The sequence below is a fragment of the Homo sapiens genome, chromosome 1, assembly GCF_000001405.40.
Source record: "Homo sapiens chromosome 1, GRCh38.p14 Primary Assembly".
Lineage (NCBI taxonomy): Eukaryota > Metazoa > Chordata > Mammalia > Primates > Hominidae > Homo > Homo sapiens.
In genome coordinates, this window is record NC_000001.11 from 150,202,636 (window position 1) to 150,218,416 (window position 15,781).

At 42.9% G+C, this 15,781-nt stretch overlaps 1 pseudogene; it reads left to right on the forward strand.

Annotated features, from left to right (window-relative positions):
• On the forward strand, positions 8,997–9,290 carry RN7SL480P (RNA, 7SL, cytoplasmic 480, pseudogene; annotated as a pseudogene).

Sequence of the window (15,781 nt, forward strand, 5' to 3'; positions counted from 1 at the left end):
TACAAAAAAAAAATAATAATACAAAAATTAGCCAGACGTGGTAGCAGGTGCCTGTAATCCCAGCTACTTGGGAGGCTAAGGTGGGAGAATCACTTGAACCCGGGAGGCAGAGGTTGCAGTGAGCCGAGATCGTGCCATTGCACTCCAGCCTGGGTGACAGAGCAAGACTCCATCTCAAAAAAAAAAAAAAAAAAAAAAAAAAACTACAAAGTGCAATAAAGGTGAAGCTCAATAAAATATGCCAGTATTCTTTATTATATCACTATACTTTTTTTTTTTTTTTAGACAGAGACTCACTCTGTTGCCCAGGCTGGAGTGCAGTGATGCAGTCTCGGCTCACTGCAACCTCTGCCTCCCAGGTTCAAGCGATTCTCCTGCCTCAGTCTCCCGAGCAGCTGGGATTACAGGTGCCTACCACCATGCCTGGCTAATTTATGTATTTTTATTTTTATTTTTATTTATTTATTTATTTTTTGCGACGGAGTCTCATTCTGTCACCCAGGCTGGAGTGCAGTGGCTCAATTTCGGCTCACTGCAAGCTCCGCCTCCTGGGTTCACGCCATTCTCCTGCCTCATCCTCCCGAGTAACTGGGACTACAGACGCCTGCCATCACGCCCAGCTAATTTTTTGTATTTTTAGTAGAGACGGGTTTTCACTGTGTTAGCCAGGATGGTCTCGATCTCCTGACCTCATGATCCGCCCGCCTTGGCCTCCCAAAGTGCTGGGATTACAGGTGTGAGCCACCGCGCCCGGCAATTTATGTATTTTTAGTAGAGATGGGGCTTCACCATCTTGGCCAGGCTGGTCTCAAACTCCTAACCTCAGGTGATCCGCCTGCCTCAGCCTCCCAAGGTGCTCAGATTACAGGCTTGAGCCACCGTGCCAAGCCTTTATTATATCACATACATTTTAATAAATGATATTTATTAAGGATTAAGGACTAGATATATAACAGGCACATTTAACTCTCATACCAACCTTATTTATCATCTCTATTTTACAGGTGAGGAGATTGAAACGCAGGGACTATATAATGAGCCCCAAGATCGTAATATCAGTAATTGGTAGAGTAAGGATTCAAAGCCAGGTCAGTTCACTCAAGAGCCTGTGCTGGTAACAACTGATACTTCCTCCCTGTGTCCTCAAGCAAGTCACTTAACCCCACAGATTTTGGTTTTCCATGCAGTTAAGATAGAGAAGGTGGACTCCATGATTACTAATGTTCCTTTCAACTCTAGTGTTTCCCCTTTTCATTTAAATTGTTTCAAGGCTGGGCATCGTGGCTCACGCCTGTAATCCTAATACTTTGGGAGGTCAAGGCAGGCAGATCACTTGAAGTCAGGAGTTCCAGACCAGCATGGGCAACGTGGTGAAACCCTGTCTCTACAAAAATACAAAATTAGTGGGGCTTGGTGGTGTGTGCCTGTAGTCCCAGCTACTCCAGATGTTGAGGCACGAGAATCGCTTGAACCCGGGAGACGGAGGTTGTAAGCTGAGATTGCCCCACTGCACTCCAGCCTGGGCAACAGATCGAGACTCTCTTAAATAAATAAATAAACAAATAGTTTCAAAACACCACTCTTTTTTTTCTTTTTTTTTTTTTGTAGACGGAGTCTCGCTCTGTCGCCCAGTCTGGAGTGCAGTGGCGCGATCTCGGCTGACTGCAACCTCTGCCTTCCATGTTCAAGCTAGTCTCCCGCCTCAGCCTCTCAAGTAGCTGAGATTACAGACATACACCACCACACCCAGCTAATTTTTTTGTATGTTTAGTAGAGATGGGGTTTCCCCATATTGGCCAGGCTGGTCTCAAACTCCTGACCTCAAGTGATCTGCTCACATGGGCCTCCCAAAGTGCTGGGATTACAGGTGTGAGCCACCACACCTGGCCAAAACACCATTCTTAATGGCTGCATAATATCCTACTTATGAGTAAAAGATAATTTACTATTACCGTACTGCTGGACATTTAGGCTGCTTCCAGTTTTTCCTTAACACAATTATCCTCGCAATGAACATTCTGGTGTTTTACAGATTATTTTTTAGAATAAATCCTTAGAAATAATTCTATCACCATCCATTCCTGTAATGAGTTTTTTTTTTAAGTTTTGTTCATCTAATCAATGTAATTTAAGCTGTGTTATCTTACTATACCTGTTTTTTAAAACCAGTATTATGCCACTATGGGGACTTAGTAAGAAAAAATAAAACACATTTTACTCTTGCCTGATTTCTTTAAGATTTTTAATCATTAATTTTTTCTTTTTTCTTTTTTTTTGTTTTTGAGATGGAGTTTTGCTCTTGTCACCCAGGCTGGAGTGCAACAGCATGATCTCCGCTCACTGCAACCTCCGCCTCAGTTCAAGGGATTCTCCTGCCTCAACCTCCCAAGTAGCTGGGATTACAGGCACCCGCCACCACGCCCAGCTAATTTTTGTATTTTTAGTAGAGATGGGGGTTTCACCATGTTGGCCAGGCTGGTCTCGAACTCCTGACCTCAGGTGGTCTACCCGCCTCTGTCTCCCAAAGTGCTGGGATACAGGCTTAAGCCACAGTGCCTGGACATTAGTGTTCTCGTATGTAAAAGTTGTCAGAATCAAAATGGAGTCACTAATGTTAAGAAAACCCTCACAAATAAGGCCAGAAGAAGTCATAATGAAAGGGCTTTTACACTTGTATGCTTGAGAATGAAAAAGACTATACAAAAACCACAACCTTACAAAAAAAGCCATCACAATCTTAGGCAAAAAAGACTTCTACAAGGACATCTGCCCAGCAACTACTTGTTCAGCCTCAGACTGGTATCACCCCTGTTATTAATCCTTGTAGCCAAAGATAATTATTTCAAAACAATTGCATAATCCTCCTGATTTTTCCCTTTAAAAACTTTGGTCTTCCTTTATCTCCTTGAATATGCACATCATTTACTATGGCATGCGGATTCCCATTGCAATGCTCTATTCCCAAATAAACATCATTTGCTTTTAGAGAGCCTCTCTTTCTGCTTGTTATTTAGGTTAACATATATCAGGTCTAGGCCGTGTGTGGTGGCTCACGCCTGTAATCCCAGCACTTTGGGAGGCCGAGGCAGGCAGATCACGAGGTCAGGAGATCAAGAGCATCCTGGCTAATACGGTGAAACCCCGTCTCTACTGAAAATACAAAAAAAAAAAATTAGCCAGGCGCGGTGGCGGGCGCCTGTAGTCCCAGCTACTCAGGAGGCTGAGGCAGAATGGCATGAACCCGGGAGGCAGAGCTTGCAGTGAGCGGAGATGCGCCACTGTGCTCCAGCCTGGGCAACAGAGCGAGACTCCGTCTCAAAAAAAAAAAGAGAAGGTACTTTGTAATATCCTACCCCACCCTTAAGAAGGTACTTTGTAATATTTTCCCCACCCTTGAGAATGTGCTTTGTAAGATCTACCCCTCTGCCTGCAAAAAATTGCTCCTAACTCCACCGTCTATCCCAAACCTGTAAGAACTAATGATAATCCCACCACCCTTTGCTGACTCCTTTTTCGGACTCAGCTTGCCTGCACCCAGGTGAAGTAAACAGCCGTGTTGTTAAAAAAAAATTTTTTTTGTTTGCATTTCTCTTGTTAAACTGTCTTTTGTTATGTGGCCTCAGCCATGAACCAATGGGTGAGGAAACAATATTATATATCCTTAGGTCTTGGACATGGAAATCAATAAATATTTATTAAATAAGTAAATTTGTCTTGTACTTTTTTGTTTACTCTTTTAGATAACCTTTAGAAAATTTCCATTAGCCGGGTGTGGTGGCACGTGCCTGTAGTCCCAGCTACTCAGGAGGCTGAGGCAGGATAATTGCCTGAACCCGGGAGGCAGAGATTTCAGTGAGCTAAGATCACGCCACCGCACTCCAGCTTGGGCAACAGAGTGAGACTCCATCTCAAAAAAAAAATTTTTTTTCATGGTTTCCTCCCTATAAAAAAAATCCAGTGGGAATTTAGATGGGAACTGCGTTGAATTTTTAAATTGATTGAGGACAGGCTAAAATCTTCACAATGTTTAGCCTTTTCATCTAAAACTTAGCATGCCTCTCCTTTTACTCACTGGTGAAAAATTAAGAGTGTTTCTATTAAAGGGTGTTTCTAATTTTTTCTCTCTAGTAATAGTTTGATAGTTTGTATTATATAGCTCAAACAAGTCCTCAGTAAGACTATGCCTATGAATTGTATTTGTTGATATGGTGCATGGGATCTTTTTTTCTCTACGTTCTTTACCTAATTATTGCCAGAATATTAGAGTGCTTTGTTTTGTTTTGTTTTTTGAGACAGAGCCTTGCCCTGTCACCCAGGCTCAAGTGCAGTGATGCGATCTTGGCTCACTACAACCTCTGCCTCCCGAATTCAAATGATTCTCCTTCCTCAGCCTCCCAAGTAGATGGGATTACAGGCACCCGCCATCACGCCAAGCTAATTTTTGTATTTTTATTATAGTAGAGATGGGTTTTCCCCATGTTGGCCAAGCTGGTCTCTAACTCCTGGCCTCAAGTGATCTGCCTGCCTCGGCCTCCCAAAGTGCTGGGATTACAGAAAACAGCACCTGGCATGAGCCCCTGCACCTGGTCTAGAGTGTTTTTTTTCTGAACAACTTCATTAATTCAAATAGTTTAGTTGAGCACAAAGATTCCATCATCTGCTTTTCTCCCAGAATTTAAGCCACTTATTTATTTACTATCTTATTGTATTTGTCGGAACTTCTATAACAACGTCAAATTATAGAGGCTGAGAGACTGAATAACAAATGGACAATGGCAAGATCATATGAAAAATTGAACTTTGACCCATGATGTGCAACACCTTGCCCAGGAGATCAACCCTTTATCTAAAATAAACAACTCAGGAAGCCAGCCTGCTATAAGTCAGACTTAGAGGAAGCCAGTTTGCTATCTCTAGTGACAATCCAAGAAGCTAAAAAATAACTTCTGTAACAATTGGCCTAAAATGGCCAGGACTTGATCGATAACTGACGGCGTCCAGAATTGTAGTCCCCATTTCCAGCATAGGACCAACCAAGGAAAGCCAAATATGCACCACTAACCAATCACATAAGACGCCCCACTTCTGGTTAGCTCACCTACAGCTTCCTCATGCCAACAGCTTCCAATCAGGGCTTTTTTCCTCTATAAAGCTTTCCCATTTCTCTGCCTGCCTTTGGGTCTCTGCCCAAATGCCAGTGCTGGTAGCTGACTCCCTTGCTAAAGCAAGCTCAGAATAAACAGCCGTTGCTTCTCTCATTTGGTAGGTCTTTTTTCTTTTAAAGACAGAGTCTCACTCTGTCACCCAGGAGTGCAGTGGTGCCATCTCAACTCACTGTAACCTCTGCCTCCCCAGTTCAAGTGATTCTCCTGCCTCAGCCTCCCAAGTAGCTGGGACTACAGGTGCATGCAGGAGCTCAAGACCAGCCTGGCCAACACAGTGAAATCCCATCTCTACTAAAAATACAAAAATTAGCCAGGCGTGGTGGTGGGCGCCTGTAATCCCAGCTACTCGGGAGGCTGAGGCAGAAGAGTCACTTGAACCCGGGAGGCAGAGGTTGCAGTGAGCCGAGATCACGCCACTGCACTCCAGCCTAGGCAACAAGAGTGAATTCCGTCTCAATAAATAAATAAAGTGGCCGGGCGCAGTGGCTCACACCTGCAATCCCAGCACTTTGGGAGGCCAAGACGGGCAGTTAGCAAGGTCAGGAGTTTGAGACCAGCCTGACCAACATGGTGAAACCTCATCTGTACTAAAAATACAAAAATTATCCCAGCGTGGTGGTGCATGCCTGTATTCCCAGCTACTCAGGAGGCTGAGGCAGGAGAATTGCTTGAACCCAGGAGGCGGAGGTTGCAGTGAGCTGAGATCACACCACTGCAGTCCAGCCTGGGTGACAGAGCAAGACTCCATCTCAATAAATAAATAAATAAATAAATAAATAAAATTTAAAAAATTTTAAAAAGACAAAAAGGAGAAATATTATCATCTAATATAAAAAATGATTCGTATAATTATTATATTTAAAAACTGTGGCCGGGCACGGTGGCTCACACCTGCAATCCCAGCACTTTGGGAGGCCAAGGTGGGCGGATCACTTGAGGCCAGGAGTTTGTGACCAGCCTGGCCAACATGGCAAAACCCCACCTCTACTAAAAATATAAACATTAGCCAGGGTGGTGGAATCCCAGCTACCCGGGTGGCTGAGGCACAAAAATTGCTTGACCCTGAGAGGCGGAGGTTGCAGTGAGCCGAGATCACACCACTGCACTCCAGCCTGGGCAACAGAGCGAGACTCTGTCTCAAAAAAAAAAAAAGGAAAGAAAGAAAAATAGAAAGTATGTTAATAGAATAAAGTAATTTACATAGAATCAAAGGAAGCAAGAATTTGGCAGCATTAGTCTAATAGTGCTGAGCGTACTGCTGCCAAAGTCAGACAAACTGAACACAACAAATACTAAAACCTCTAGAAAGAATAGTGTGGATCAGGGTAGGTTCCTCATACTTGTCAAACACATAAAATATCCCTCTAGCACCCTCTCCTCCACTTCTATGCTCACCTGAGAGGATTCTGATTGTGCACTTGGCCTCTCAGTTACCTTTCCTAGAAGGGATACACGAGACCTTCACCTAGCAACATGACTACTGCACTTGAAATGTGGCTAATCCAGGCACTTTGGGAGGCCAAGGAGGGAGGATCACTTGAGCCCAGGAGTTTGAGACCAGCCTGGGCAACATGGTGAGATCCTATCTTTATAAAAAGAAAAAAAAGAAGAAGAAAGTAACTAAATAAAAATAAAACTCTGTTAAAAAAAAAAAGAAAGAAAGAAAAGTGGCTATCTGAATTGAGATTTGCTGTAAGCATAAAATCCATCCCAGATTTGGAAGACTTTGCATGAAAAAAATACAAAACATCTTACTAATGATTTTTTACATTGATTACATGTAGAAAGTATAATATTTTGAATATGTTGGGTTAATTAAAATACATTAAAATTAATTTTACCTGTTTCTTTTTAGTTTTTTAAATATGTCTACTAGAAAATTCTAAATACATCTGTGACTTGCATTTTTATTTTATTTATTTATTTATTTCTTGAGACAGAGTCTCATTCTGTCACCCAGGCTGGAGTAGAGTGGCTCGATCTTGGCTTACTGCAGCCTCTGCCTCCCAGGCACAAACAATTCTCCTACCTCAGCCTCCCGAGTAACTGGGATTACAGACACCCACCACCATGCCTGGCTAATTTTTGTGTTTTTAGTAGAGACAGGGTTTCACCATGTTGGCCAGGCTGGTCTCCAACTCCTGACCTCAGGTGATCCACCCGCCTTGGCCTCCCAAAGTGCTGGGATTATAGGTGAGAGCCACCGCACTCCACCAACTTGCATTTTTGACAGAATTATATGTCTATTAAAGAGCGCCAATTTAGAACACTGAACAATAATACCATAAACAATGTAAATATACATTCTCCCTGTAAATTAATAAATTGACAACTTGATTTAGAAATCTGACTTTGGTGAATTTTCACGGCACAAGTCTGTCCCTCACATATTGATCGATTTTGTATTTACAAACTCAAATACATCTCCTTCTATAGCCCTGCAAAATGAAGGATCACGCCTTCACTGAAGTGAGCAAATCAAAGTTTTGGCATCTTCTGAGCTTTCTGGGCACAAGCTGTCAGCTCAGCCATTTCTCTGCCTGCAATTTCGCTCTTGGTTTATAATCTTGGGTTTAGGCTGTTTTTCAAGGGATAGAGTTGGTATCATTCATATTTGTTTTCCTATCACTTATGTTCCTTAAACAAAGGATTTTAAAAGTTTGTTAAATATTCTACATTTTATGCCTTTGATCATAGCTGTAAGACTGCTTGCCTTGAAAAGGATTTGCACATAATTCTCCATGGTTTTTTTCTTAATATGTTAATTGCAAACCGCTTGTAAAGATTGAGTACATGAAGATCTGAAAGACAGCAGTTATTTACAGTCATGTAAAGTAAAAATGGCAAGTGATATCTAATTAATAGCTAATAACCTAATAATATGGAGTGGAAACTTGATAACCATTACAGCACACTGTATTTTATTATCAAGGACAGAGCCTTAGAGACAGACCACAGAATTGATGTTTCATCATTATGCGATGGCCTACATTATATGACCTCTTATTTGTCCCTCAACTCCAATAGCAACCTCAAGGCTGATATAGAATAGCAGTGGAAAGGAAAATAAATGACACAAAAAGAAAAGTAGGTTTATCATGGGACCAATGTAGTGCTTTGGCCTCATAGCAGAGACCAGATGGTAGCAGCTCCTCTCTCAGCAGGTAGCTCTTCAATATCCTACGGGTTGTAAACAACAAATTCACATCATCTCCACCTGCTAATAAGTATTTTTTAAAATATTGCGGCAACATCGAAACAATGCTGAAAATACAATCCCTCAATATAAGAAAAAAAGTTTTCCTAAATATTTAGTCTGTTAAAAGAAAAAGTCTTTTCTGAGAAATGCTATTACCCACTAGAAAATCTTGGCTTCTTAAAATCCAAGAATATTCTCATCTCTTTTTTTTTTTTTTTTCTTTTTTTGAGACAGAGTCTCACTCTGTTGCCCAGGCCAGAGTGCAGTGGCGCGATCTTGGCTCACTGCAAGCTCCACCTCCCAGGTTCAAGCGATTCTCCTGCCTCAGCCTCCTGAGTAGCTGGGATTACAGGCACGTGCCACCATGCCCGGCTAATTTTTGTATTTTTTAGTAGAGACGAGGTTTCACCATATTGGCCAGGCTGCTCTCCAACTCCTGACCTTGTGATCCACCTGCCTCGGCGTCCCAAAGTGTTGGGATTACAGGCGTGAGCCACAGCGCTCGGCCTCTTTTTTTTAAATAAAGTAAATGGCCCTCATTTTACCCAATTTTGTGACTTTGTAAAAGCCAATGAAAATGCCTGAGAAACTACTGACATTAGTTTTACTGCAGTTAAATATTTGTTAACTTTGCCAGGCGCGGTGTCCCGTGCCTGTAGTCCCAGCTACTTGGGAGGCTGAGGCAGGAGACGGCTTGAGCCCAGGAGTTCTGGGCTGTAGTGTGCTATACCGATCGCGTGTCCGCACTAAGTTCGGCACCAATATGGTGACCTCCCAGGAACAGGGGACCACGAGGTTGCCTAAGGGGAGGGGTAAACTGGCCAAGGTCAGAAATAGAGCAGGTCAAAACTCCCGTGCGGATCAGTAGCAGGATCGTGCTTGTGAATAGCCACTGCACTCCACCCTGGGTAACAGACCCTGTCTCTCTAGATAGATAGATAGATAGATAGATAGATAGATAGATAGATAGATAGATAGAGCGTATATATATACATATGCTAATTCTATAGAAACATGTAACTGTCCTTTGACATTTTAATAAAAATTGTGTATACAAGATTTCAAATTTAATTATTCTCTTCTCCTTCCATAGGATCAAAGACATCTTTTGGTTGCACAAGAAAAAGTGAAGCAAATATTCTCTGAAAAGTGACTGATGCCAATAAAACGTATAATTTTTGTATGTTTAATAGAGATGGGGTTTCACCATGTGTTGGCGCGCGCCTGTAGTCCCAGCTACTCTGGAGGCTGAGGCAGGAGAATCGCTTGAACTCAGGAGGCGGAGGTTGCAATGAGCCGAAATCGTGCTACTGCACTCCAGCCTGGCAACAGAGCGAGACTCTGTCACACACACAAAAAAAGTATAATTTGATGACAGTTTTTCTTCAATAGTTTAAGACACTTCTAACAAACTATAATTTAGTTGTCCTAATTAAAAGAAGAAAAATGTTAATAATCTCACACAGTGACCTCTACAAAATGTCCCTCAATGGACCCATTCTTTCCTTCGGAGAGAGAGGAAAAGGATCCTACATCTTATACCTTAAAGCTCTTAATCACTTTACATGTGGGCTACATGTCATTTTTCAACGGTTTCCCTCTGGGTAGCTGGTTGCTCCAATATTTTCCAGAATTGATTCGTTCTTAGGTACCAACTTGACCGTTCAATTCAGCAATTCTGGCTTTAAAATAGAAGAAAAGGCCGGGCGCGGTGGCTCACGCCTGTAATCCCAGCACTTTGGGAGGCCGAGGAGGGCAGATCACGAGGTCAGGAGATCGAGACCATCCTGGCTAACACGGTGAAATCCTATCTCCACTTAACATACAAAATATTAGCCAGGCGTGGTGGCGGGCGCCTATAGTCCCAGCTACTCGAGGCAGGAGAATGGCGTGAACCTGGGAGGCAGAGCTTGCAGTGAGCCGAGATCGTGCCACTGTGCTCCAGCCTGGGCGACAGAGCAAGACTCTGTCTCAAAAAAATAAATAAATAAATAAATAATAAAATAAAATAGAAGAAAAATAGGAGTAGGAACAACGTGGAATAGTAGGTTAGCCCCTGGGGACAAGAAGAGAAATTCACTTAAGCAAAGGTCACCTAAGTGCAAACTTGAACCAGACTGTGCACAAACAAGTGACAGAAGCGAAAGTGGCCTCAGCTGCAAACGCAGCACTTGATAAACCACACTCATGATCAGCCCTCATTTCCACCTTAGAGAGATTGAAAACATACCTAACTCCACCATTTATAGCTGCTGAGCAGGTGGATGACATTCGTCAACGTGGGGTTTAGAATAATGCAATGTTTGAAATAAAATTAGAAAGAAAATAAGGCCAGGCACGGTGGCTCACGCCTCGAACCCCAGCATTTTGGGAGGCCGAGGCAGGAGGATCGCTTGAGCCCAAGAATTCGAGACCAACCTGGGCAACAGGACAAGACTCCATGTGTATTAAAAAAAAAAAATTAAGAAAACAAAAGCTTTGTTAATCGTTAAGTAAGGATTGCAAAATGGAAGACAGTAAAGAAAAGGAAGGTCCTAAGAATCTGACCCACGAGTTTCAGTCCAAGTAACCTGGACCTGCCCAGAGGAAGCAAAGCGGAAGTAGGATCCAAAACGCTTTCAGCAGGCCGCCTGCGCCCCCGCGCATGCGCAGGTCTCTGACCGTTTTGGCGGGTGCGCGCCAGCCCTAGTTTATCTAGAGGGGAAGGGCGGTGCGGGACCACGTGACTGGGGTTGCGGCATTTCTGGCCCAATCCGAGACGGTTTCGTAGAGCGCCCTGTAGAGCAATTCGGGTTGCCCGGGTCCTTTCCGAGTCTTGACCTCCTCTTTTGCTTCTGGCTTTTCGACTCTGCTCTCGAATCTAAAAATTTGCCTTGGCAGAAGTTTTTCCCTGTGTTCCAGGAATTACATTAGGGACACACTCTAAAGTGATCAGCACTTTTTATTTTTTTCCTTCATCAACTAAAATAACATTGCTGTCTCCCCAAGACGCTCGAATTCTGTTCTATTGCTTGAGATTCCAGAATCGCTGGAGGGCGCCCTGTTGTAAAAATAGCACTCCCCACAAAAAGAGAGAGAAAGTTTTATCTATATCAGGGGGTTGAGGATTGGAGAAATAAAGATGAAAAATTTAAAGAAGCAAGTGTCCCCTAGGACTATGACAGATACGTACCTCAACACGTACCCCCAAAGGTCACTTTGTCAGTTTAAGCATTTAAAATCTCCCAATCTGTCTATTCAAGCCTATCAAAAATCTGAAGTAGTGATGCTGAGATAATATGTGGTTGGTCCAACCCAGTGGAGTGTGACGGGGAAACAGGGCTTAGAGAAATTTAATCTTAAAACTGGAGTACTTTCCTCATTTCCCTGAAATAAAGGGAATTGGGGGAAAAGCAAAATGGATGAGGCTGAGTTCTAGAGCTCTAATCCTTCACGTACTGACTGCTACAGCCCAGGAAGCTTAGCAGTGGTTCATGTCACATACCCCAATATACATGGCTTGGTAAAAATACGTGTTGACAGGCCGGGCGCAGTGGCTCACCCCTGTAATCCTATCACTTTGGGAGGCTGAGGCGGGCGGATCACAATGTCAGGAGTTCGAGACCAGCCTGACCAACATGGTGAAATCCTGTCTCTACTAAAAATACAAAAATTAGCTGGGCGTGGTGGCACGCGCCTGTAATCCCAGCTACTCAGGAGGCTGAGGCAGGAGAATCGCTTGAACCCGGGAGGCGGAGGTTGCAGTGAGCCGAGATCGTGCCACTGCACTCCAGCCTGGGCGACAGAGTGAGAATCTGTCTCCAAAAAAAAAAAAAAAAAAAGTGTTGGTAAAAGTATCCAATTTACTGAAAAAATTTCTCACCCGTAATCCTTTTCAGAAAGATTTAACTAATTCCCCACAGATAATAAATCCTCCACACTACAAAAATTGGTTTGTTTTTAACTCAGCATATTCTCAGAAAAGTGGCCGGTGGTGGAGCAGAGTGCAACACAGCTCAAAGCGCTGGACTCACAGGAGCTTCGCTGCAGACTTGCAGTGATAGTGACTGCTGCTTCCCTTGGGTTCCTCTGGTGTTGCTGTCATTGATAATTTAGTAGTTTCAACTGCAGTTCCTTCCATTACACTTACAGATTCTTCTACGGACCCCCAGAATTCCTCAGTCACAGCTCTCTATATAAATGGCTTTGAAAGCCACTGACTACACTGTTGGTGTCTACTCAGTGCCAAGAGAAATGGACTCTGGGAGAAAATCCCTCCAAGTGGAGAAACCCTGTAACCCCTTTGAGCTAATTCCGGGGAGTGACTCTAGCCAGGAAAAGTCACAACTAAAGCGGAAAACAGATCGTAGCCTTCACCATCGGCAAGATGGTGCAGTTTATTTAATAGAAAAATCATCAATATACTGCCATATTTTTAAAAAAAAGGTTTTTTAAAGATAATAGGAGTCCAGTCGTGGTGGCTCACGCCTGTAATCCCAGCACTTTGGGAGGCCAAGGTGGGTGGATCACCTGAGGTCAGGAGTTCGAGACCAGCCTGGTCAACATAGTGAAACCCCGTCTCTACTAAAAATACAAAAAATTAGCTGGGTGTGGTGGCGGGCGCCTGTAATCCCAGCCACTCGGGAGGCTGAGGCAGGAGAATCGCTTGAACCCGAGAGGCAGAGGTTGCAGTGAGCCGAGATCATGCCATTGCACTCCAGCCTGGGCAACAAGAGTCAAACTCTGTCTAAAAAAAAAAAAGATAATAGGGAAGTCAGAGAAAGTAGGCAAGTGTTTACAGTGTCGAAGTTACTTCTTGAAGCTAGAACAGGTAGTTTTCACCAGAGCTGTGTGCCTATTTGGTGGCTTGTGTCAGTATTAACCATCAACATGGATGTGTCCATATTATAAGGGATCAAGTCCAAACAAAAATTTGAATTATTTGTAAATATTCGTGAAGTTAGAAAAGGTTATACCTGCTTCTGATTATTAATCCGAGTTTTGGAGTATTTATTTATTTATTTATTTAAGATGGAGTCTTGCTCTGTTGCCCCGGCTGGAGTACAGTGGCACAGTCTTGGCTCACTGCAACCTCTGCCTACTGGGTTCAAATGATTCTCCTGCCTCAGCCTCCGGAGTAGCTGGGATTACAGGTGAGCCCCACCACACCTGGCTAATTTTTGTATTTTTGGTAGAGATGAGGTTTCGCCATGTTGGCCAGGCTGGTCTGGAACTCCTAACCTCAGGTGATTTGCCCGCCTCAGGCTCCCAAAGGGCTGGGATTACAGGCGTAAGCCACCACACCCGGCCCCAGAGTATTATGGGATAACCTTACTTCAGGGTCTTACTACCCAAAAATGTGACTAGATTTGTATGAAATAAAGTATTTTTGGTTGGGTGCGGTGGCTCACGCCCATAATCCCAGCACTTTTAGGAGGCCGAGACGGGCAGGTCTCTTCAGGAAAGGAGTTCGAGACCAGCCTAGGCAACACGGTGAAACCCCATCTCTACTAAAAATACAAAAAAAAAAAGCTGGGCGAGGCATGGTGGCGCGTGCCTGTAATCCCAGCTACTCAGGAGGCTGAGGCAAGAGAATCCCTTAAACCCTGGAGGCAGAGGTTGCAGTGAGCCAAGATCGTGCCACTGCACTCCAGCATGGGTGACAGAGCGAGACTAGTCTCAAAAAAAAAAAAAAGCAATTTTCTTGGAGATCAACTCATTTTGTAATTTCCATTTTGTGGTGTAACCATTCTCCTTCAAGTTAGGGTTAGTAACACAAGTAACTACCTCAGGCGGAAGTACCCATGCCAGGTTCTCAAATCTTAGGCTGAATTAGTACATGAAAAAGGCATGCAGTAGTAGAATTCTATAGTTAAGCAACAGCTGCAGAATATCACTGCATCCAGTACTAGAAACAAGAGAGGGGAAATTTTCAGCAACTGAAAGCATGTCACATTCCAAAGCCTCTCTTTAAAATATAGAAAAAACTATACTTAAAGGTGTCTTCAGTCACAATCTCTCACTGAATTGCTTCATTATCTAACAACTTCATCAAAAACTTTGTGTGGTTCCACCACTTTCTGTAACCAAGAGGTGAAAGGCTTTGAATTTTTTAAAGATAATACCTGCAAAAAATTATATTAATTTCAGTAAATAATACCTTTAGTTGAAAATACTTCAATATTTTCCATCTCTCAGGAAGCAGAGTTCAATAATTAAAATACCTTTTCAATATTAAACTGTAAAGCAATCATGAAAACATTACTAATTATACTTGTGCCTTGAATATAAAATTCCAGTTGTCTACATATGAAACATTTTAAAAATCACTTACCGTAGAGAAACCAAAAAGAAGAGAGCAGAAAAAAACTATTGTTTCAAGTTTGATTTTGCTCTAGTAAACATTTAAGTATTATGTATATTTCCATTTATATTATCAAGATTCAGAAGATAAACATACAGTATAATTGGAGAACTTTGGATTCACTTTAGAAAAAACTATTGATATACAATAGTCTTATAATCACTTTAATAAACCACAGATAATACAAGTATAGGTAATAAACTTATTACTTCAAATCAAACTGCAGAAAGTACTGGTTCAATTTGCAACCCCAAAAGGAAAATTAAGAGAATACAAATTTTTTTTCTGCCTTTTGGACAAGAAGTTAATAAAGAAGGCCGGGTGTGGTGGCTCACGCCCGTAATCCCAACACTTTGGAAGAATGAGGCTGGTGGATCACCTGAGGTCAGGGAGTTCGAGACCGGCCTGACCAACATGGCGAAACCTCATCTCTACTAAAAATACAAAATTAGCTGGGCGTGGTGGCACATGCCTGTAATCCCAGCTACTCGGGAGGCTGAGGCAGGAGAATCTCTTGAACCCAGGAAGTGGAGGTTGTGGTGAGCCGAGATCGCGCCATTGCCCTCCAGCCTGGGCAATGAGAGCGAAATTCTGTCTCAAAAAAAAAAAAAGTTAAGAAAGAAGATGATGAGTTAAAACTATTAAATTGTAATGCCAGCTGGGAGCAGTGGCTCATGCCTGTAATCCCAGTACTTTGGGAGGCTGAGGCAGGCAGATCATGAGGTCAGGAGATCGAGACCATCCTGGCCAACATGGTGAAACCCTGTCTCTACTAAAATACAAAAAATTAGCCAGGCATGGTGGTGCATGCCTGTAGTCCCAGCTACTCAGGAGGCTAAGACAGGGGAATCGCTTGAACCCGGGAGGCAGAGGTTGCAGTGAGTCGAGATGGCGCCATTGCACTCCAGCATGGCGATAGAGCAAGATTCCATCTCAAAAAATAATAAATAAATTGTAATGCCTTATATCACATCCAAGTATTTAAATCAGTTAACTTTCAAGCTGTTAGTTTTTAAAAAGACCTTCAAAGCCGCTAATGGTATTGTTGAAAAAGTGAATGCTATACACTGAAAC